Source organism: Homo sapiens, chromosome 8 (genome assembly GCF_000001405.40).
Source record: "Homo sapiens chromosome 8, GRCh38.p14 Primary Assembly".
Lineage (NCBI taxonomy): Eukaryota > Metazoa > Chordata > Mammalia > Primates > Hominidae > Homo > Homo sapiens.
This window is the reverse complement of record NC_000008.11, coordinates 143,310,223-143,331,421: the sequence shown is the minus strand read 5'-3', so window position 1 is coordinate 143,331,421 and position 21,199 is coordinate 143,310,223. Positions and strand designations below refer to the sequence as shown.

At 56.3% G+C, this 21,199-nt stretch overlaps 1 protein-coding gene across 20 annotated transcripts in view, besides 4 other annotated features; it reads left to right on the top strand.

Moving 5' to 3' along the window:
- The window catches only part of TOP1MT (DNA topoisomerase I mitochondrial), a 50,654-nt gene that overhangs the window by 28,556 nt on the left and 899 nt on the right, over window positions 1-21,199 (top strand). For 19 of the 20 annotated variants that reach the window (NM_001258447.1, NM_001258446.1, XM_047421333.1 and 16 more), the window contains 11 exons: window positions 83-198; window positions 1,951-2,072; window positions 5,078-5,200; window positions 5,889-6,076; window positions 6,793-6,937; window positions 7,280-7,423; window positions 10,036-10,221; window positions 13,336-13,404; window positions 13,585-13,699; window positions 15,296-15,423; window positions 15,601-15,695. In NM_001258447.1, the coding sequence (NP_001245376.1) occupies window positions 2,007-2,072; window positions 5,078-5,200; window positions 5,889-6,076; window positions 6,793-6,937; window positions 7,280-7,423; window positions 10,036-10,221; window positions 13,336-13,404; window positions 13,585-13,699; window positions 15,296-15,423; window positions 15,601-15,695 (1,259 nt within the window). In that variant the 5' untranslated portion in view covers window positions 83-198; window positions 1,951-2,006. Of the gene's footprint in view, window positions 1-82; window positions 199-1,950; window positions 2,073-5,077; window positions 5,201-5,888; window positions 6,077-6,792; window positions 6,938-7,279; window positions 7,424-10,035; window positions 10,222-13,335; window positions 13,405-13,584; window positions 13,700-15,295; window positions 15,424-15,600; window positions 15,696-16,689; window position 21,199 lie in introns of those variants that run through there. The other variant, XM_047421345.1, reaches the window with a different exon arrangement.
- Window positions 7,702-8,363: an enhancer, noted in NCBI's record as "H3K27ac-H3K4me1 hESC enhancer chr8:144405229-144405890 (GRCh37/hg19 assembly coordinates)". NCBI's record gives its function as "activates a minimal SCP1, AML or CMV promoter by ChIP-STARR-seq in primed H9 embryonic stem cells {active_cell/tissue: H9 hESC(primed)}" and the evidence as "EXISTENCE:reporter gene assay evidence [ECO:0000049][PMID:30033119]".
- Window positions 8,364-9,027: an enhancer, noted in NCBI's record as "H3K27ac-H3K4me1 hESC enhancer chr8:144404565-144405228 (GRCh37/hg19 assembly coordinates)". NCBI's record gives its function as "activates a minimal SCP1, AML or CMV promoter by ChIP-STARR-seq in primed H9 embryonic stem cells {active_cell/tissue: H9 hESC(primed)}" and the evidence as "EXISTENCE:reporter gene assay evidence [ECO:0000049][PMID:30033119]".
- Window positions 9,028-9,691: an enhancer, noted in NCBI's record as "H3K27ac-H3K4me1 hESC enhancer chr8:144403901-144404564 (GRCh37/hg19 assembly coordinates)". NCBI's record gives its function as "activates a minimal SCP1, AML or CMV promoter by ChIP-STARR-seq in primed H9 embryonic stem cells {active_cell/tissue: H9 hESC(primed)}" and the evidence as "EXISTENCE:reporter gene assay evidence [ECO:0000049][PMID:30033119]".
- Window positions 9,692-10,355: an enhancer, noted in NCBI's record as "H3K27ac-H3K4me1 hESC enhancer chr8:144403237-144403900 (GRCh37/hg19 assembly coordinates)". NCBI's record gives its function as "activates a minimal SCP1, AML or CMV promoter by ChIP-STARR-seq in primed H9 embryonic stem cells {active_cell/tissue: H9 hESC(primed)}" and the evidence as "EXISTENCE:reporter gene assay evidence [ECO:0000049][PMID:30033119]".

The window sequence follows — 21,199 nt, the reverse complement described above, 5'->3', positions numbered from 1 at the left end:
GGGAGGAGCCACTGTGGGAGCGGGGAAGAGGCTCATGCAGGGCCTGGCCCAGGAGAGTGACACGTCCTGTCTCCGTCTTTAGGTGGGAGAAGGAGAAGCACGAAGACGGGGTGAAGTGGAGACAGCTGGAGCACAAGGGCCCGTACTTCGCACCCCCATACGAGCCCCTTCCCGACGGAGTGCGTTTCTTCTATGAAGGTAAGGATGCAGGGAGCGGCTCCTCCCCAGCCTGCGCTTGGTTCCCTGGGCGTGGGCTCCCAGTGGGCATCTGGCTCGCTCCCTCAGCCCCCCTGCAGGCTTCTGGCTATGAGCGCTCTGTGCCCTCTTCTTGCAGGTGATGCGTGGGGGCTGCTGACCAACTGACCCATGCTCAGAGGGTGGCAGTTCGGGGGCTCCCGTCCCTGCCTTTCCTGCTGAGCCTGCACTGGCTGTGCCTGTTGTGTCCAGGACCCTCTGGGCAAAGCGGACCCCCCCTCCCTCCCCCCGCACCACTGTGTTCCCTGTGTGTTCTGAGTATACACAGTACGTACACTGCGTGTACACACATGGATCACAGAACGGTCACTTGACCCCAGCTTGTGATTCTCAGCAAGAAGCGGAGCCCGTGGTTGACATGAGCGCTGAGCCACCCTCAGAGGCAGGACCCGGGGGCTCTGGGGCAGCAGGGCCCACACACCCCTCCTGCCCTTGAGCCCTCCTCTCTACCCCAGGGCCCAGGAGCTTTGGCTTGGCTCTTGTGCTGCTGATTTTAGCTGCTTCAGCCTATTTTCTTCATCTCTGCTAGAAGGCATCCTTCTAAGAAAAGCAAACCTCTTCTCCCCCAGGGCAGGCCCCCACGCCATGCTGTGCCCCTCCCACCAGCCCTCCCGTGGGCCCCCTGCCGAGTCACATGCACACCTGAGTTTGCTGAGCTCCTTTGATGCAATGTTTTGTTCAAAGCCTGTTTCTCCAAAGCGGTACTGGAGCTTCCACAGGGACAGAGGTTCTAGCTGTGTCTGTGGGGGCTGCCCACGGGAGGCCATGGGACCTTACTGAGCGTCTCGCGCTGTGCCCCTGGCCTGGTGTAGCGGCTGCCTCGCCTGCCCCACAGCAGCCCTGCAGGACCTCCCTGGCCAGGAGGGACATGGCAGGCGAGGACTGCTTATGCAGGGCCATGGTGGACAGTCCGGGGAGTGGTGGTGTCGCGTGGGGCCCAGTGGGGCCGAGCCTCCACAGAGGGGCAGTGGGAGCTGAGCCCCTCGGGCCTGTGCTGCTGGTCTCTGGGCCTCTCGTCCTCTGTCCTGAGAAGCTAGTTTGGGGAAGGATTGCTGCTGTTTATCAGAAATGCCTTCCTCCTTCTTACCAAATGATTATGCATTTATTTCTCTAAAATTTTCTTATGAAAGCTTTTCAGACGTGCAGTTGAAAGAATTCCTGGTGAACACCCTCGTTCCCACCACGAGCCTCTCACTCTGCTCGCCTGCTCCCAGCTCACCCCCCATCTCTAAACCACACTGATCTTAGAATAAAATGCAGGGAATGGTGGGACAGAGGCCGCAGAGTTGTAAAAGGGTACACCTAGTTATTCAGTTTTCTGCTTTGAAGCCTTAACTTTTATTTTACTTGTGAAATTTTGTGGAAATTGGTGTGTTTTAAAATTGTACATGTTCCATTTTCATGTAATATAAATGTAGTAGCAACGTTAAGTGGTAAAGGAGGAGAAAGCAGTAGCGCCTGAAATCTTCTGCAGCTTTCTCACGACCCGCTCCCAGATCACTGTGGTCGCCACCTCCACGCAGGTTGATTGTCGTGTGTCATGCAGAACATGCTTCTGAACTTACAGAAGAAGGCCTAGCTTCTTGCTCTTGGCATAGTACGCACGAAAGCGTAGTTTAAAGCAATGAGGTCATGTCAGCTGGAGGCCGAGCCTCTGGCCGCTCTCTCATACGATGTGTCTTCCGATGCCTGCAGGAAGGCCTGTGAGATTGAGCGTGGCAGCGGAGGAGGTCGCCACTTTTTATGGGAGGATGTTAGATCATGAATACACAACAAAGGAGGTTTTCCGGAAGAACTTCTTCAATGACTGGCGAAAGGTAGGTACCCTGGGCGGCCGCCACAGCTGTCCTGGACCTGGCTGGCTAGGCGTCTGCGGTTCTGCAGTGCTGCCTCTGAACGCCCCTCGCAAGTTCTCGGTGGCCCCTGTGTGACCACTCACAGGTGCCGTCATGGCTCTTTGCAGCTTCGAGCTCCTGGGCTCAAGCCATCCTCCTGTCTCGGCCTCCTGAGTAGCTGGGACCATAGGCGGTGCCAGTGTGTCCAGCCTAGTGCACCTCAGACCTTTCCCTTCCCAGGCAGGCTGTGGATGTGGAGGCCGATTTGTGGTCCTTACTCCATGGACCGCTGAAAGGACAGGGGTCTGGCATATAAGAAGGAGAGTAGAGGAGGCCGCATGCCATTTCCCAGCCCCCAGGAAGACATGCTTGGCGAGAAGCTCTTTGGAGGGGAGGGTGCTGCCTCAAGGCTTTTTCCTTGCTCATTTTCAAGGTGACTGCCCTTCGCCCATGGCCTGACTGATTTTATGTGTGTGCCGCGGATTCTGTGCCCTCCGGGGTTTCTGTCTGCCCCACACCTGCGAGGCTCGCCCCTGACTGCTTGTCCCGCAGCATCTTCCTGGCTCTGGCCGGGTCGCGTTTCCTCTGTTCCGTGACTCATGCTAGTCCATTTCCCTATTCGTGGGTGTTTGATTAATTCCTGTTTTAGGCCTTTGCATGTGTAAAGCTGCCATGAACATTCCCACGTGGGTGAGGGCACATATGTGTGAGTTGCCTCTGACAGGACTTGGGGTGAAATTGCTGGGTCACGTGTGTCCAGCTTACTAGCAACACCAGGCTGAACTGTCCACACGCCTGCCGCGGGTGCGAGGCACCTTTCTAGTGGGCACAAAATGACACCTCGCCGTGGGTGTGGTTTGCGTTTCCCTAATGACAAGTGATATTAAGCATCTTTTGGTGTACTGACGTGTCATTTCAGTATTTTCTTTCGTGAACTTTTGTCTATTTAAAAAACTGAGTTGCTTGCGTATTCCTCGCTCATTTATCGGAGTTTTAAAAACGCATCCTGGGTGCAGGTTCTTTGCCAGACGCACATGCTGTGAATGTCATCTCCCAGACTTTGCCTTTTCACTTCTCAGTGAGGTCTCCAAACAGAAAACTGTAACTTAGTTATGCCGTTTATCAATCTGTCTTTTATGGTGAGTACTTTTGTGTCCTGTTTTAAGTCCATTATCAGAAATATGATTTGCAAAAATCTTTCATGGTGTTTGTAGTTTCTATTTGCGTTCTCTTAACAATGTCTTTGGAAGGTCAGGAGTTTGGAATACTGATGAGGTCCCACGTTTCATGTTTTGTCACAGGTTTGCTTTTGTTGTTTTGTCTAAGAAATCTGCTGAATTCGGCAGCACAGAGATTTCCTCCTATGTTTTTCCTAGAAGTTTTGGTTTTAGGTTTCCATTGAGGTCAGCTTGGTTTAGGTGGAACTCTGAGTTAATTTTGGTTATAGTGTGGGGTAGAGGCCGAGGCTCGTGTGTTGCATGTGGGTGTCTGACTGCCCCGAGCCAGCTGCTGGAGCCTGTGCTTCCTTGTCCCCTGTGCAGGCTCCGCTTCTGGACCCTCTTCTTTGGCCTGATGCCACCCCTCTGCCTTTCACGACAGCTTTGTGAGGTGGCACCAGCTGCCCGGCATCCTCATTCTCCCTCTGGTCAGCACTTCTTCCAGTCACTAGCAGAGCTAGGAAGGGAGGCAGTGTCACAAAGCAGCAGAACAGGAGTGGGTGGCACATCCGGCGGCCCCGGGAGACACAGGGACGGACCCTGAGCCCGTGGTTGTGGCCGAGCAGGGCTCCATCCTGGCACAGATGGTGTCGTACCTGAGCTCCTCGGAAGAGGCGGATCATCCCCATCCCACAGCGAGACACGTTTGACAGCAGCTCCTGAGGTCTCACAGGCCTAAGTGGCCGAGCCTGGACTGGGACCGTGAGCTGGTGCCCGCAAGCCTGGGCTTTTGTCCATGGGCTGTGCAGAGTTTTTGTTGTGTAGGAAACGAAAGGAGAAACAGTTGCCTGTGATCTGCGGCTCTCCCTCAGGTCAGTGTCTCCTGTTCCCGCGTCCTGGCTTTTCCTGGGCACTAGTTTTCGTGTGAGTGTGATCAGTGTGCCTGTAATGTTTTCCCCACTTAGCATTTTATCCCGCTTAGTCTCCACACGGGTAGATCATCGTCAAACTGTTTTCTGCTGTGCTTTCCAAAATTCACCTTGAAACTGAATCCCCAGCACCACAGGACAGAGGGAGGGCCTTTAGGAGCTGATTGGGCTGTGAGGACTCCACCTTGCTGCAGCCCTTAGGATTAATTTAGGGCCTTAGGGCAGGGCTGGGTGGAATTAGCTGGGCCCCTTCTGTCCTTCTGTCCCCTCCACTGTGTGAGGACAGCCTTCAGGGCATCCTCTCAGAAGCAGGGACTGGGCCCTCCATAGACGTCAAATGCTGGGACCCTGATCCCAGCCTTCCAGCCCCCAGAGCTGTGACTATGATTTACAACTGACCAGTCCCCGGTATTTTGTGGCAGCAGCACGTATGGACTGAGACTTTGCCCTCGCGAATCCCGTCACGTTCACCAGATGAGCTCCCGACCATGTATCCTGCTCTGTCCGGTCATGACGTTTCTGCAGTTGCCCTTAGTGCGGTCGTCATCCGGGTTTTCATACTGGAGAGTTTATTTAGGATGGATCTCAAAGTGGAATTATTGGGTGCAAAGGTTTTAGCCAGTTTTACTACTGACTTGTTGTGAAGTTGCTTTTGGAGAACTGTGCCCTCCGCTGCCCCACCCAACTCCATGCCTGCAATAACAGAACCAGCTCTATCTGTGGGGTCTGCGGGGAGAGGCTCTATTTACGGGGCCGCAGGACCGTGCGCAGGTTCTGCCTATTGCACACACGCCTCCGTCGGACATGGCGAGAGCGCGTTTCTGTCCGTCAGACATGGCGAGAGCGCTCTGCATGTCTGTCCTTCAGACATGGTGAGAGCGCGTGTCTGTGGTTTTTGCAGGAAATGGCGGTGGAAGAGAGGGAAGTCATCAAGAGCCTGGACAAGTGTGACTTCACGGAGATCCACAGATACTTTGTGGACAAGGCCGCAGCCCGGAAAGTCCTGAGCAGGGAGGAGAAGCAGGTTGGGCTGCCTCGAGCGTTGTGTGACCTGAAGTGGCCCCTGGGAACGAGAGGCCGGCCTGGCCCAAAGACTGAGAAAGGCCTGTGGCCTTAGAGAAGCCCCTTCTCACAAAGCTGCTCTTTTCTCGTCAGCCTTAGCGCCCCTGCATGTGCTTAAGTGTCGTTCCGCTTCCCCAGAGCACATTTGAGAGTAAACCCGGTTTGAAATGGATAATTTACCATCATTGATCAAGGGTGGGTTCCCAGACGGGCCGTGGGCTGAGGGCGGGGCTTGTGCAGGCCAGTCGGCTTCTTGCTGTTCTGTGCCATGCGTCTCCCTACATCTAACAGGAACCTGCCGTGCTGTGATCTCCATGTGGCCTTCTCAGGGATTCCCTTAGCCCTCCTCCTCCATGGCGGGCAGCCACGCTCCCTCCACCTGGCTTTACTGCTTAGGCCTAAAACAGCCGAAGTCTGTGCAGGGGCCGGGGAGTCCAGGCCATGGGGTGGTTAGGCCATGGCTCTCGGTGCCCCCTGCAAGCCCACCTGCACTGTCCCCTGCCCCTGCAACCTCCATGGATTGTGAAGGGCTTTGAGGGTCCAGCTGAGTTAGCCAGACAGAGCAGGGTGGTCCCGGGTTAGCAACAACGGACTGAGGCCTGTTCTCTTCTCTTCACTGCTAATGTCCACTGACTGTTTTATTAACTCAGAAGCTAAAAGAAGAGGCAGAAAAACTTCAGCAAGAGTTCGGCTACTGTATTTTAGATGGTCACCAAGAAAAAATAGGCAACTTCAAGATTGAGCCGCCTGGCTTGTTCCGTGGCCGTGGCGACCATCCCAAGATGGGGATGCTGAAGAGAAGGATCACGCCAGAGGATGTGGTTATCAACTGCAGCAGGTGCGTGGCCGGGCGGGCAGCAGGCGGGCACTGGACCCCCGCCACCCGGGTGAGGCTGGCTTTTCTTCACCTCCTGGGAGAGGGAGGCACACCGAGAAACATGTGGTTGGTGACCCCCACACCATTCCTGTGGAGCTCAGCCTGTAGGCGTGGCCGGGCAAGGGCGGCCTTCCCAGGGTGCTTCCCACGGGGTCGGAAGTCCTCGCCTTGCTATGGCTGAGACTTTCTCCCGCCAAGGACACCTCCATGTGGTTTTCATATCCCACACCATCTGGATGGCCCAGTAGCATTAGGTGTTTTGAACTTATTGGAGGGACATTCCAAGTGGTGGAGAGGGGACTGCTGGGCCACATGTTGTACTGTGTGACCACAGGGTGGAGTAGGGACCCTGCCTGCAGGACCCCCAGTGGCCAGGCTGTGTGGGGCAGGGCACTCGTCGTCCCAGTTGGTGCTGAGAGGTCTGTGCAGAGCGGTGCCTTGCTTGGGTGGCCGCCCAGCCTCCTGGTGCACTGTGGCCTTCCTGTGTGTGCAGAGGGTAGATTGAGTGGCTGCTTTTGTCTGAGCTGCCAGGCAGGCCACCTCTGATGCCAGACTCGGTCAGGAGCCATGCCACCACCATAGCCACCACGTGGGACGGTTGACCAGAGCAGCTCCTTTTGCTTGCATTCCAGAGAATAAGGTCTCCAAGTTATGTTTGGGTCGTTGTTCTGCTGCAGGGACTCGAAGATCCCCGAGCCGCCGGCGGGGCACCAGTGGAAGGAGGTGCGCTCCGATAACACCGTCACGTGGCTGGCAGCTTGGACCGAGAGCGTTCAGAACTCCATCAAGTACATCATGCTGAACCCTTGCTCGAAGCTGAAGGTGAGCGCAGGGCTTGGCAGGGTGTTTCCTCCCCAGGAGGTCCCCCTGAGGACGCCGGCAGGGAGGTGTGTAAGCCGGGCACCGGCAGAGGCTTCTGAGATGGGCTGGGAGTCGGCCAGCCCGTGCTGAGGTCATGCTGTGCCAGCAGGCACAAGCCCCAAAGCCAGGAGTGGGCATGGGTGCTCACTGCCGGCATCACCCAGCTAGATTTGCTGCCCCAGCCCCTGACCACGGCACCACTGAGTGGAGAAGCACGAGGTTTGGGGGAGGGAGAGTTGACAGCCTCCTCCGTTATTTAACAGGAATGTGAATGTTTTCTTTCCTGTTATTTTCTTCGTTTAGGGGGAGACAGCTTGGCAGAAGTTTGAAACAGCTCGACGCCTGCGGGGATTTGTGGACGAGATCCGCTCCCAGTACCGGGCTGACTGGAAGTCTCGGGAAATGAAGACGAGACAGCGGGCGGTGGCCCTGTATTTCATCGATAAGGTATGCGGCCTTCTCGCTTCCTGGCGGCTCTTCATCCTGGTTCTCCTGGCGAGGACTCCCAGTTGGATGGTGCAGTGTGGCGACGTGGGCCTGTGTGTGGGGTGGAACCTCATTCTGATGGGGGGGGTGTGTGCATGTGCACACGTGTGTGGGTGTGAACATGTGTGTAGGGTGTGCATGTGCATTGTGTGGTGTGTGTGCACTTGTGCGTGTGGTGTGCCTGTGTGTGGCATGTCTGTGTGGGGCGTGCATGTGTGTGGCGTGCATGTGTGTGTGGCGTGCATGTGTGTGGTGTGCCTGTGTGTGTGGCGTGCATGTGTGTGGCGTGCGTGTGTGGTGAGCATGTGTGTGGCGTGCGTGTGGCGTGCGTGTGTGGCGTGCCTGTGTGTGTGGCGTGCGTGTGTGTGTGGCGTGCCTGTGTGTGTGGCGTGCATGTGTGTGGCGTGCGTGTGTGGTGAGCATGTGTGTGGCGTGCATGTGTGTGTGGCGTGCCTGTGTGGCGTGCATGTGTGTGGCGTGCGTGTGTGGTGAGCATGTGTGTGGCGTGCGTGTGGCGTGCGTGTGTGGCGTGCCTGTGTGTGTGGCGTGCGTGTGTGGCGTGCCTGTGTGTGTGGCATGCATCTGTGTGGCGTGCCTGTGGGTGTGGCGTGCATGTGTGTGGCGTGCATGTGTGTGGCGTGCGTGTGGTGAGCATGTGTGTGGCGTGCGTGTGTGGCGTGCGTGTGTGGCGTGCATGTGTGTGGCGTGCCTGTGTGTGTGGCGTGCCTGTGTGTGGCGTGCCTGTGTGGCGTGCCTGTGTGTGGCATGCGTGTGTGGCGTGCCTGTGTGTGTGGCGTGCCTGTGTGGCGTGCCTGTGTGTGGTGTGCCTGTGTGTGTGGCGTGCATGTGTGGCGTGCGTGTTTGGCATGCCTGTGTGTGGCGTGCGTGTGTGGTGTGCCTGTGTGTGGCGTGCCTGTGTGGCGTGCATGTGTGTGTGTGCATGTGTGTGGCGTGCCTGTGTGTGGCGTGCGTGTGTGGCGTGCGTGCGTGTGTGGCGTGCGTGTGTGGCGTGTGTGGCGTGCCTGTGTGTGGCGTGCGTGTGTGGCGTGCGTGTGTGGCGTGCGTGTGGCGTGCGTGTGTTGCGTGCGTGTGGCGTGCGTGTGTGTTGCGTGCGTGTGTGGTGTGCGTGTGTGGCGTGCCTGTGTGTGGCATGCATGTGTGTGTGCATGTGTGTGGCGTGCCTGTGTGTGGCGTGCGTGTGTGGCGTGCGTGCGTGTGTGGCGTGTGTGGCGTGCCTGTGTGTGGCGTGCGTGTGGCGTGCGTGTGGCGTGCGTGTGTGGCGTGCGTGTGTGGCGTGCGTGTGTGGTGTGCGTGTGGCGTGTGTGTGTGACGTGCCTGTGTGGCATGCATGTGTGTGGCCTGCATGTGTGTGGCGTGCATGTGTGTGGCGTGTCTGTGTGTGGCGTGCGTGTGTGTGGCGTGCATCTTTGGCGTGCCTGTTGTGTGGCGTGCCTGTGTGTGTGGCGTGCGTGTGGCGTGCCTGTGTGGCGTGCCTGTGTGGCATGCCTGTGTGTGGCGTGCGTGTGGTGTGCATGTGTGTGGCGTGCGTGTGTGGTGAGCATGTGTGTGGCGTGCGTGTGTGGCGTGCCTGTGTGTGTGGCGTGCGTGTGTGGCGTGCCTGTGTGTGTGGCATGCATCTGTATGGCGTGCCTGTGGGTGTGGCGTGCATGTGTGTGGCGTGCATGTGTGTGGCGTGTGTGTGTGGCGTGCGTGTGTGGCATGCATGTGTGTGGCGTGCCTGTGTGTGGCGTGCCTGTGTGTGTGGCGTGCCTGTGTGGCGTGCGTGTGGCATGCGTGTGTGGCGTGCGTGTGGCGTGCCTGTGTGGCGTGCCTGTGTGTGTGGCGTGCATGTGTGGCGTGCGTGTTTGGCATGCCTGTGTGTGGCGTGCGTGTGTGGCGTGCCTGTGTGTGTGGCATGCATCTGTATGGCGTGCCTGTGGGTGTGGCGTGCATGTGTGTGGCGTGCATGTGTGTGGCGTGCGTGTGGTGAGCATGTGTGTGGCGTGCGTGTGTGGCGTGCGTGTGTGGCGTGCATGTGTGTGGCGTGCCTGTGTGTGTGGCGTGCCTGTGTGTGGCGTGCGTGTGGTGTGCGTGTGGCATGCGTGTGTGGCGTGCGTGTGGCGTGTGTGTGTAGCGTGCGTGTGTGTGTAGCGTGCGTGTGTGGCGTGCGTGTGTGGCGTGCGTGTGTGTGGCGTGCCTGTGTTTGTGGCGTGCGTGTGTGGCGTACCTGTGTGTGGCGTGCGTGTGTGGCATGTGTGCGTGGCGTGCGTGCGTGGCGTGCGTGTGTGGCGTGCGTGTGTGTGGCGTGCCTGTGTGTGGCGTGCCTGTGTGTGGCGTGCGTGTGGCGTGCGTGCGTGTGGCGTGCGTGCGTGTGGCGTGCCTGTGTGGCGTGCGTGTGTGTGGCGTGCGTGTGTGGCGTGCGTGTGTGTGGCGTGCGTGTGTGGAGTGCGTGTGTGTGGCGTGCGTGTGTGGCGTGCGTGTGGCGTGCGTGTGTGGCGTGCGTGTGTGTGGCGTGCGTGTGTGTGGCGTGCGTGTGCACGCACCACCCACTTTGACCATTCCCCACCAACTAGCTGGCACTGAGAGCAGGAAATGAGAAGGAGGACGGTGAGGCGGCCGACACCGTGGGCTGCTGTTCCCTCCGCGTGGAGCACGTCCAGCTGCACCCGGAGGCCGATGGCTGCCAACACGTGGTGGAATTTGACTTCCTGGGGAAGGACTGCATCCGCTACTACAACAGAGTGCCGGTGGAGAAGCCGGTGAGTGCCCTCGCGCCAGCTGCCCCCGCTATGTGACACGTATTTGCTCTGGATGTCTGGGGGCGTGCCGGAGCTGCCGTGGGGTCTGTGGCCCGTTTGCCACGTCCTGCCTGCTGGGTGAGGCCTGCTGTGCCGGGGCTGATCGGGGTAAAGGTGAAGGAGAGGCTGTGCACCATGGTAGACCCAAGGGTTCACAAGGGAGCTGGTCGGGGGCTGAAAAGGGCACGTGTGTCACGCCAGCTTCGTCTCCTGCCCCCCGGCCGGAGCATCTCCCAGGGCTGCTGGAGGAAGGCACTGCAGACCCAGTGGTTTAACAGACGTTTATTGTCGCTCAGCCCTGGGGGCCAGAGTCTGAGTCAAGGTGCTGGCAGAGCCACATCCCGCCCACACTCGGGGAGGATCCTCCTGCCTTCCCAGCATCTGGTGGGGCCACGGATCCTGCGTGTCCTTGGCCTGAGGCTGCCTCATCCCAGTCTCTGCCTCCGTTGTCACATGGCCATCTTCTCCCTGCATCTCTGCCTCTGCGTGTTCTCACAAGGACGCTGTCGTATTGGAGTTAGGGCCCAGCCCACTCTTTCTATGACTTCATCTTATCAGTCTCTAAAGACCCTGTTTTTAAATAAGGTCACGTTCTGGCCAGGCATGGTGGTGCACTCCTGTAATCTCAGTGCTTCGGGAGGCTGAGGTGGGAGGATCACTTGAGCCCAGGAGTTTGAGACCACTTGGGCAACATAATGAGACCCTGTCTCTGAAATAATAATTTAAAAAAACAGCCGGGCAAGGTGGCTCACGCCTGTAATCCCAGCACTTTGGGAGGCCAAGGCGGGTGGATCACGAGGTCAGGAGATCGAGACCATCCTGGCTAACATGGTGAAACCCCGTCTCTACTAAAAATACAAAAAAAATTAGCCGGGCATCGTGGCGAGCGCCTATAGTCCCAGCTACTTGAGAGGCTGAGGCAGGAGAATGGCGTGAACCCAGGAGGCGGAGCTTGCAGTGAGCCAAGATGGCACCACTGCACTCCTGCCTGGGTGACAAAATGAGACCCTGTCTTCTTTAAATTTTTTTTCTTTTTTCAAGACGGTGTCTCGCACTGTTGCTCAGGCTGGAGTACAGTGGTGAGATCTTGGCTGACTGCGACCTCCGCCTCCTGGGTTCAAGCGATTCTCCTGCCTCAGCCTCCCGAGTAGCTGGGATTACAGGTGCCTGCCACCAAGCTCAGCTGATTTTTGTATTCTTAGTAGAGACAGGGTTTCACCATGTTGGCCAGGCTGGTGTTGAACTCTTGACCTCGTGATCTACCTGCCTCAGCCTTCCAGAGTGCTGGCATTACAGGCATGAGCCACTGTGGCTGGCTGAGACCGTTCTAAAAAAAAAAAAAGGTTACATTCTGAGGTTCTGGTGAGGATATGAATTTCGGGAACACTTTTCACCCCAGTACACCTGGGAGGGGCTGCCCTCTTTCCTCTGCTGCAGGGACTAGTGGCTGCCCACCACCCCCACAGCCCCTAGCTCCACCAGCATAGATGCCCAGAGGGATGAGTGTGGTCGGGAAGGGCTGGGTAGATCTCTGGTCTCCAGACTGGCTTGAAGGAAGACTGGAACCTGGGGAGCATCCTCACCTTTGAATGGCTGTCCTGAAGAGTCACGGTGTCCCCTGTCTGGGTGGGCGCCACGTCGCAGTGACGTTGGACAGATCCACGCACGAACTCCCTGCACCTCAAAAGCACAAATGTGACTCAGGCTGGGCGCAAGGCCCACACCTGTAGTCCAGACACCTTGGGAGGGCTAGGTGGGAGGGTTGCTGGAGCCCAGGAGTTGGAGGCGGCAGTGAGCTATGATTGTGCCACTGCACTCCAGCCCAAGTGACAGAGCCAGACCTAGTCTCTAAAAATTAAAAAAAAAAATAAAAAAATTAATGTGACCCAACCGTGGGATGGAGTGGAGCCGTTGAAAAACAGAAATGGAAGTTTGGGGACAGGTGTTGAGGGCAGCAGAGAAACAGGAGTCCCTGGCAGGGCCCGGCCTCAGGCAGTCTGGTCGGGAAGTCATTCCTAAGGAATGAATTAATCGGAGGTAGGAGACAGAAGCCAACACACGAAAGGAAGAGGCAAGGAGGTGCTCACCACAGTGCCCCTGCCGTGGTGAAGCATCGGCTGTGGTGCAGGCCTGGATGGGGAGTTGCACTCTGTCCAGACAGAGGACTAGCCAGCCATTTGCAGTGCTGTCCAGGGGAGCACTCGGTAACGGAATGCATGTGATGTAGAGAAAAAGGCGGGACATAAAGCCTCGTCAAGATCAGCGGTGTGAAACCAAACGTGTAGAGGAAGATGAGGGAAGAAGCCAGAAGTCGGGAGCTGTGGGCTGGGGCTTCCCGCCATGTCCCGGTGCCTGTGGGTTTGTAGAATGGGGTTCATCAGCCATGGTGCCAGGCTGATGAGGGGGCCAGTTGGGGGTGCGGGGCCTCCTGCCCGTGTCTGGTGAGGGAGGGCTGCCATGCTGGTGCTGGAGAGAGCAACACAGAGGCCACAGCAACCTCCGCCCTGGAGCCGATGCCCAGCGCTCAGGGAGGGTGCCTGCCACTTGTAGGAGGACCAGCAGGTGAAACTGAGGGGAGGGCAGGCATGGGTGCAGGTGCAGGCTGGCGTTTCCTCGGAGCAGGGTTGGTCTTTCCAGAAGGGAATTAATGTCCTCTCCCCAAAGGGACTGGTGGAGGGAGGTTGGACACAGGAACCCCGAAGGCCCTGAGGTCCTGTGATGTCAGATGAGTGTCTCACATTACAAGGGTGTGGGCTCACCTGGTGGAAATCCGGCATTGATGGAAGAAGGAGCCGGGGACTCTGGGCCACCTGCCGCGGTCACCCAGGGGGTTTGCAGGGCAGGAGTCACGCCCACCTCCTGAGCACGCTGCCTGTGCGTGTGGTAGCGGTGACTGCCACACTGGAGGGTGGGGGCCGTGTCACGGGAGGATGCCGACAGGTGACGGTGATGCTGCTCGGGCCACCTTCCTCAGGGAAGCCTCCCGTGGGCTCCCAGGCTCTGCGTAGACGCCCTTCAGGTCCTCACTGGATTCGGGTTTTTTCTGTCCTCTGAAATTCCTTCTTTCTCCTTCAGGTGTACAAGAACTTACAGCTCTTTATGGAGAACAAGGACCCCCGGGACGACCTCTTCGACAGGCTGACCGTAAGCCGGCTCGTGTTTCCTCAGCAGTGGGCGGCGGCAGGACCCAGTGAGAGGGCGTGGGCGCTGAGTCTGGCCCAGGGTTTTGTCCTGACCCAACGGCTGACATGTCCTTTCCTTCCCGCGGGAGGCTGGGACGGCCCCGCAAAACCACGTAATTATAGAGACCATTTTCCTCCCCAGACGACCAGCCTGAACAAGCACCTCCAGGAGCTGATGGACGGGCTGACGGCCAAGGTGTTCCGGACCTACAACGCCTCCATCACTCTGCAGGAGCAGCTGCGGGCCCTGACGCGCGGTGAGCCTGCCCCACACCCACACTCAGCGCGGGGGGAGCACGGCCCCTGCCCCAGACCGGGCTCCCCGGCTGGCCCTTGTTGAGTGAGCCTCGGGGTGGGGCCGCTTCTTTGGGAAATGGGCTGAGGTTGTGGGCTGGCTGCTTGGCAGCCTAGGTGGCCAGAGTCCTGGGGAGGAGGAGGGAGGTTCTGGCTCTCGGGACCCCAGGCATCCCAGCCACGTTCTCCCTGCGGGGCGGCCCCTACTGCTGAGCCCTACTCAGGCCCCATGGCCTGGTGGTGTTCCTCAGCTCCTCCTCAGGGTTCTTTCTTGAAGGCCCAGGAGGCCTCTGCACTTTCCAGTGGTTCTGTCCCTCCCACCCTCAGCTGTCTGAGCACCCCGACCTCTGGGCCTCTGTCCACGGCCCTGTCTCAGCTTCAGGGCCCTCTGCTCTTTGTCCCCTGCCATCAACCTGGGGATGCTGTCTAAGCTTGGCGAGGGCCTCTCCTCCCTCTGTCCCTGGCGCTGCCCCTGCTCCGTGATGTCCGGGCTGCTCTGTGATGTCCGGGCAGATTGGACGCACAGACTGTCCAGAGGGTGCCTCCCACCCCGGCGCCCACCGCACTCCCCAAGCAGGGCTTCCTGGAGGAGGCGCCGAGGCTGGGTGCTCAGGGGCGCTGACGCTCGGCATGTGTTTCGCGTGCACCCGTGGGCCTCAGAGGCCGGTGCTGTGCTGCCCTGGGGACAACCTTGGAGCTGGGGCAGCACTGGGGCTGTGGGATGCGGAGGAGCTAGCTGGCATCCAGGTGAGAGCCCCAGGAGAGGAGACGCCCCCTCCACTGAGGGAGGCAGAAGATTCTGGGTGAGGGCATAGGGGCCGAGGCCGGGCCTGGGAGAGGAAATGAAGGTGCTGGGCCCACTGTGGACGTGCTTCCAGAGCTGGGTGGGCCATGCAGGATGGGCGTGAAGGAGTGGCCGCTCCAGTAGGTGCCTTGGGGCCAGTGCTTACGTTCTCTGAACCTCATTCTTGACTGGAAAATGGAGACAACGTGGTACCTTGAGGGGATGTCGCCAGGGGAAGCCGGGTGCTGGGGACTTGTGACAGGCAGGGACCCACAGACTCGCCAGGGGAAGCCAGGTGCTGGGGACTTGTGACAGGCAGGGACCCACAGACTCGCCAGGGGAAGCCGGGTGCTGGGGACTTGTGACAGGCAGGGACCCACAGACTCGCCAGGGGAAGCCGGGTGCTGGGGACTTGTGACAGGCAGGGACCCACAGACTCGCCAGGGGAAGCCGGGTGCTGGGGACTTGTGACAGGCAGACTCGCCCGTCCAGGCGGCTGGGCCTCCTCCTTGCCATGGGGCCTGGGAAGGCCCGGGTGGTGCTACCTGTGCTGTGGCCCCACGTGAAGCCTTGTTGCTGTGGTTAAAGACGCTGGGCCCTGCTCTCGAGGCCACCTTGGAGGGTCACTGACCCTTGGCCCTCACTCTCCCCATCCCAGTGGGTGCCTGTGTGAGTGGAAGGGGCTGCGCTGTGTGGCGCGTTAAGGCCGGCTCAGGGCAGACAGGGAGGGTGGCCGGCCCCGTGGGTGCTGCCTCTGACAGCCCGTGCCTCTCAGCCGAGGACAGCATAGCAGCTAAGATCTTATCCTACAACCGAGCCAACCGAGTCGTGGCCATTCTCTGCAACCATCAGCGAGCAACCCCCAGTACGTTCGAGAAGTCGATGCAGAATCTCCAGACGAAGGTAGCAGCTCCCAGGAGAGCCCCCAGCCCAGCCCTCAAGGGACCCCTCCCCCTCCCCAGAGCCTCGGCACAGGCCTGGGAGCCAGCTGCGGTGGGCACGTAGGGTGTGGAAGGGTGTGGGCACAGGGGCTGGTGCGGGATGGGGAGGGGCAGCCCTGTCTGGACCCTTTTCCTGCAGATCCAGGCAAAGAAGGAGCAGGTGGCTGAGGCCAGGGCAGAGCTGAGGAGGGCGAGGGCTGAGCACAAAGCCCAAGGGGATGGCAAGTCCAGGAGGTGAGTACCCGTGCCCTCAGACGCCTTCTCCCGGGGCCCTGTCCCAACCCGTAGGGTCCAGCCCCACAGGGTCGGTGGGAGACGACCCTTGTTGTCTCCTTGTGCGGAGACGAGAGATTGTAGAAATAAAGACACAAGACAAAGAGATAAAAGAAAGGACAGCTGGGCCCGGGGGACCACTACCACCAAGACGCGGAGACTGGTAGTGGCCCCGAATGTCTGGCTGCGCTGTTATTTATTGTATACAAAGCAAAAGGGGCAGGGTAAAGAGTGTGAGTCATCTCCAGTGATAGGTGAGATCACGTGGGTCACATGTCCACTGGACACGGGGCCCTTCCCTGTTTGGCAGCCGAGGCAGAGAGAGAGAGAACAGTTTACGCCATTATTTCTGCATATCAGAGACTTTTAGTACTTTCACTAATTTTCTACTGCTATCTAGAAGGCAGAGCCAGGTGTACAGGATGGAACATGAAGGCAGACTAGGAGCATGACCACTGAAGCACAGCATCACAGGGAGACGGTTAGGCCTCCGGATAACTGCGGGCGAGCCTGACTGATGTCAGGCCCTCCACAAGAGGTGGAGGAGTAGAGTCTTCTCTAAACTCCCCTGGGGAAAGGGAGACTCCCTTTCCCGGTCTGCTAAGTGGCAGGTGTTTTTCCTTGACACTGATGCTACCGCTAGACCATGGTTGGCCTGGCAATAGGCATCTTCCCAGACGCTGGCGTTACCGCTAGACCAAGGAGCCCTCTGGTGGCCCTGTCTGGGCATAACAGAAGGCTCGCACTCTTGTCTTCTGGTTACTCCTCACTATGTCCCCTCATATCTCTGTATGGCCTGGTTTTTCCTAGGCTATGATTGTAGAGCGAGGATTATTATAATATTGGAAAAAAGAGTAATTGCTACCAACTAATGATTAATGATATTCATATATAATCATATCTATGATCTATATATAGTATAACTATTCTTATGTATTTTATTATACTGGAACAGCTCGTGCCCTCAGTCTCTTGCCTCAGCACCTAGGTAGCTGCCGCCCACACCAACCCAGATGTGGCAGCTTCAGACGCGCCTTCCCATGGCCAGTTTTGTTTTCCTCTTCAATTGTTATTTTGTGATTTTTTTTTTTTTTTTTTTGAGATGGAGTCTCTGTCGCCAGGCTGGAGTGCGCTGGCGCGGTCTCAGCTCACTGCAACCTCCGCCTCCCGGGTTCAAGTGATTCTCCTGCCTCAGCCTCCCGAGTAGCTGGGGTTACAGGTGCGCGCCACCACGCCCGGCTCATTTATTTATTTAGTAGAAACGGGGTTTCTCCATGTTGGCCAGGCTGGTCAAACTCCTGGCCTCAAGTGATCCTCCTGCCTTGGCATCTCAAAGTGCTGGGATTACAGGCATGAGCCACTGCACCTGGCCAACTTTGTGATTTTTAAAAATACAAACTATATGCCTTGTGGACAAGAGTGGGACACATGGAGCCGTGGGAGGAGGAGACCCTGGCCGCCAAGGAGGTTTGTGATTGTCATTGTGGGGTCAGGAAATGAGAAGAAGGTGCCAGACTCTTCTCCAGGGCGGCGGCACCATCCCCTCCCCACCAGCAGTGTGTGAGGGCTCCGATTCCTCTGTCCAGGCGCCACTGTAGGGTCAGTTTTCCATGTGTCGATTAGAGCCCAGTGGGTGTGAAGGAGCGTCTGGCCGTGGGTGCTCTTTGCAGGTGCTTGTTGCCCACTTCTGTATCGTCTCTGGAGAATGACTGCTCAGGTCCTCTGTCCATTTTCCAGTCGGGTTGTTGTTTTATTATTGACTTGTAAGAGCTCGTCGATGTTTCGCCCACTCTTGGGTTGTCTTTGTTCTTTCTTTTTTTTTTTTTTCCTTTGGAGACAGAGCATTGCTCTGTCGCCAAGGCTGGAGTGCAATGGCATGATCTCGGCTCACTGCAATCTCTGCCTCCAGGTTTCAAGCAATTCTCCTGCCTCAGCCTCCTGAGTAGCTGGGATTACAGGCACCCGCCACCATGCCCGGCTAATTTTTTTGTATTTTAGTAGAGACGGGGTTTCACCATGTTGCCCAGGCTGGTCTTGAACTCCTGAGCTCAGGCAATCTGCCTGTCTCGGCCTCCCAAAGTGCTGGGATTACAGGTGTGAGTCACTACTCCCAGCCCTATTTTTTTTTTTTTTTTTTGGTGATGGAGTCTTGCTCTGTCACCCAGGCTAGAGTGCAGTGGCGTGATCTTGGCTTACTGCAACCTCTGCCTCCTGGGTTCAAGCGATTCTCCTGCCTCAGCCTCCCGAGTAGCTGAGACTACAGACACACACCACTATACCTGGCTAATTTTTGTATTTTAGTACAGATGGGGTTTCACCATGTCGGTCAGGCTGGTCTTGAACTCCTGACCTCGGGTGATCCACCCACCTCGGCCTCCCAAAGTGCTGGGATTACAGGTGTGAGCAACTGCGCCCGGCCACATCTTTCTTCTTTCTTGTTGGTGTCCTGTGACACATTTAAGATTTGGATGAGTCAGCGTGCTGAGAAGGCTTTGCCTAACCCAAGGCCATGAAGATAGATTTCTCTGTTTTCTCCTAAGAGGTTTATTGGTTTACTCTTACATTTAGGTCATTGGTTCTGAGTTAATTTTTGTGTGTGGTCTGAGGGAAGGGCCCAGGGTCATTCTCTTGCATGTGGACAGCCAGATGTCTCAGCATCCTAGCTCACCATAGTCTCAACTTGCTGGGCTCAAGCAATCCTCCCGCCTCAGCCTCCTGAGTAGCTGGGACCACAGGTGCCAACGGCCACAACTGGCTAATTTTTACACTAAGAAAATTTTTGTATGTTGCCCAAGCTACTCTTGAACTCCTGGCTTTAAGCAATCCTGCCTTGGCCTCCCAGAGCTCTGAGATTAAAAGTATGAGCCAACATGCCTGGCCCTTAGGACTGTATCTATAAAGGCCATATTGTATGCAAACAGAGATAGTTTTACTTTTTCTTTTCCAATCATATGCCTTTTATTTCATATTTTTGCATTATGGACCTGGCAGGAATCTCCAGTACACTGGACATGAGTGGGCAGCCTTGCCTTGTTCCTGATACTGGGGGCAAAACTCTCATGCTTTTATCATGGAATATGATGTTAACTGTAGGTTTTTCACAGAAGCTGTTTGTTAAGTTAACAAAATTTACTTCTATTCCTAGTTTGTTGAGGTTCTTTTTTTTTTATCATGAAGAGCATTGGATTTTGTCAAATGATTTTCTGCACCTGTTGAGATCTTGTTTTTGTCCCTTCCTTATATTGATAGGATGTATTATACTAATTGATCAGATATGAAACCATCCTTGCATTCCTGGGATAAATCCTACTTGAGCAATTGTGTAATCATTTTTGTCTATTGCTGGATTCAGTTTGCTGATATTTTGTTGAGGTTTTTGCATCTGTATTCATGAGCATGTTAGTCTATAGTTTTCTTATGATGTCATTGATTTTGGTATCAAGGTAATACTGGTAACGAGTTGAATAATATTTAATATAATATCTAATATTTCATGAAAGTTTATGAAAAATTGGTGCCTTTTTAAAGAGAGAGTCTTGCTGTGTTGCTCAGGCTGGTCTTGAACTCCTGGGCTCAAGCAGTCCTCCGAACTCAGCCTCCTGAATAGCTGAGACTATAGGCTTGCACTGCACTGCCTGGCTAGGGTCAGTTTGTTAAATGAATTCACCAGTGAAACCATCTAGGCCTGGGCTTTTCTTTGGGAGACGTTTAAAGTTACTGATATAATCACTTGTTATAGTTCTATTCATATTTTCTATACTTTGTGAGTTGGTTCTGGTAGTTTGTATCTTTCTGGGAATTTGTTTAGTCTAGGGTGTCTAACTGGCTGGTGCCCAGTTATTCATAGTATTCCCATATTATCTTTTTTATTTCTTTAGTGATGTTCCCTCTTTCATTCATTCCTCATTATTGTGGCTGCGGTTCTTTTTTTTTTTTTTTTGACACAGAGTCTCTCACTCTGTTGCCCAGGCTGGAGTGCAGTGGCATGATCTCAGCTCACCACAACCTCTGCCTCCCGGGTTCAAACTATTTTCCTGCCTCAGCCTCCTGAGTAGCTGGGATTACAGGTGCACGGCACCATGCCTGGCTAATTTTTGTATTTTTAGTAGAGACGGAGTTTCACCATGTTAGCCAGGATGGTCTCAATCTCCTGACCTCGTGATCCACCCGCCTCGGCCTCCCACAGTGCTGGGATTACAGGCGTGAGCCACTGCTCCTGGCCTGGCTGTGGTTCTTAAAGGGTAAAAGTTTTCTCTTCAGGATGAGCATCCGGAGATGCAGGGGTCTGTTTTTAATGGTGGCGTGTGCGAAGGAAATGTCAATTGGAACAAAGGGTATTCAGTGAAAAATAAGGCTGTGACTCACCCCTGACCTCCTGTCCCCAGAGGCAGCTGCTGTAAAATTTCTTTAGCATTTCCTGGCCAGGCAAGGTTGCTCATGCCTGTAATCCCAACACTCTGGGCAGCCGAGGCAGGCAGATCACTTGAGGTTGGGAGTTTGAGACCATCATGGCCAACATGGTGAAACCCTGTCTCTGCTAAAAATACAAAAAAAAAAAAAAAAAAAAAAATCATGTGCGTGGTGGCACATGCCTGTAGTCCCAGCTACTCAGGAGGCAGGAGATTCACTTGAACCCGGGAGGCAGAGGTTCCAGTGAGCTGAGATCATGCAACTGCACTCCAGCCTGGGTGACAAAGCAAGACTCCGTCTCAAAAAAAAAAAAAAAAAGCCAAGAGAAATTTCTTAAGCATTTCCAGAAGGACTGTGTGTGCGTGCTGGCTCTTCCTCTGTTTTCCCTCCTTGTTTTCACATAAATAGCAGCCCCTCATGTGTCCCTCGGCCCCTGGGGATGTGGCTCATGCTGGGAAGGCACTTCCCCGGACCTATGCTTCTGGCCCGGCGGGCTGCCCCATTCTCAGCCGTATTTTTGCAGGCGCAAGTTTGTCTTTCCACGCACATTCGAGTGTTTGTGGCACAAATTCCTAGAAGAGTTGGGGTCAGAGGTTGCATGTGTGGGTGATGTTCTGGCATTGGAGGGTGCAAGTAATGTGGAAAGGGCATCTCTGTGCTGAAATTTGCTTTCCCTAAGGAGGCAGGAAGGAGGGCTTAGCGGCTTCCCGGAGGTTAAAGGACATTTGTGTTTGCTTTCTCGGGCCTGGTCTCGCTGCCCTCATCCTGTTTGGGCCGGCCTCAGTCTGTTGTGTCGAGCATCTCACCCTCCTGCGAGTCAGGTCCTGACGGGCTGCTCACCCTCCGCCCACGGCCCTCCTCTGTATCTGACTTGGCAGCTGGGGTGGGGCTGAGCTTCCACCTTTGATCCCGGCTGGTCTTTTGCTGTGATGGATGACTGATGACAATGACAGGGACAGGGCTGCACTGGGAGGGAAGGCGGCAGGGCCAGAGAAGTGCAGGTCTCCTCAGGTGGCGCTAGTCCAGCGCGGGGCCTCGCGGCCTCCTCTTCTCTT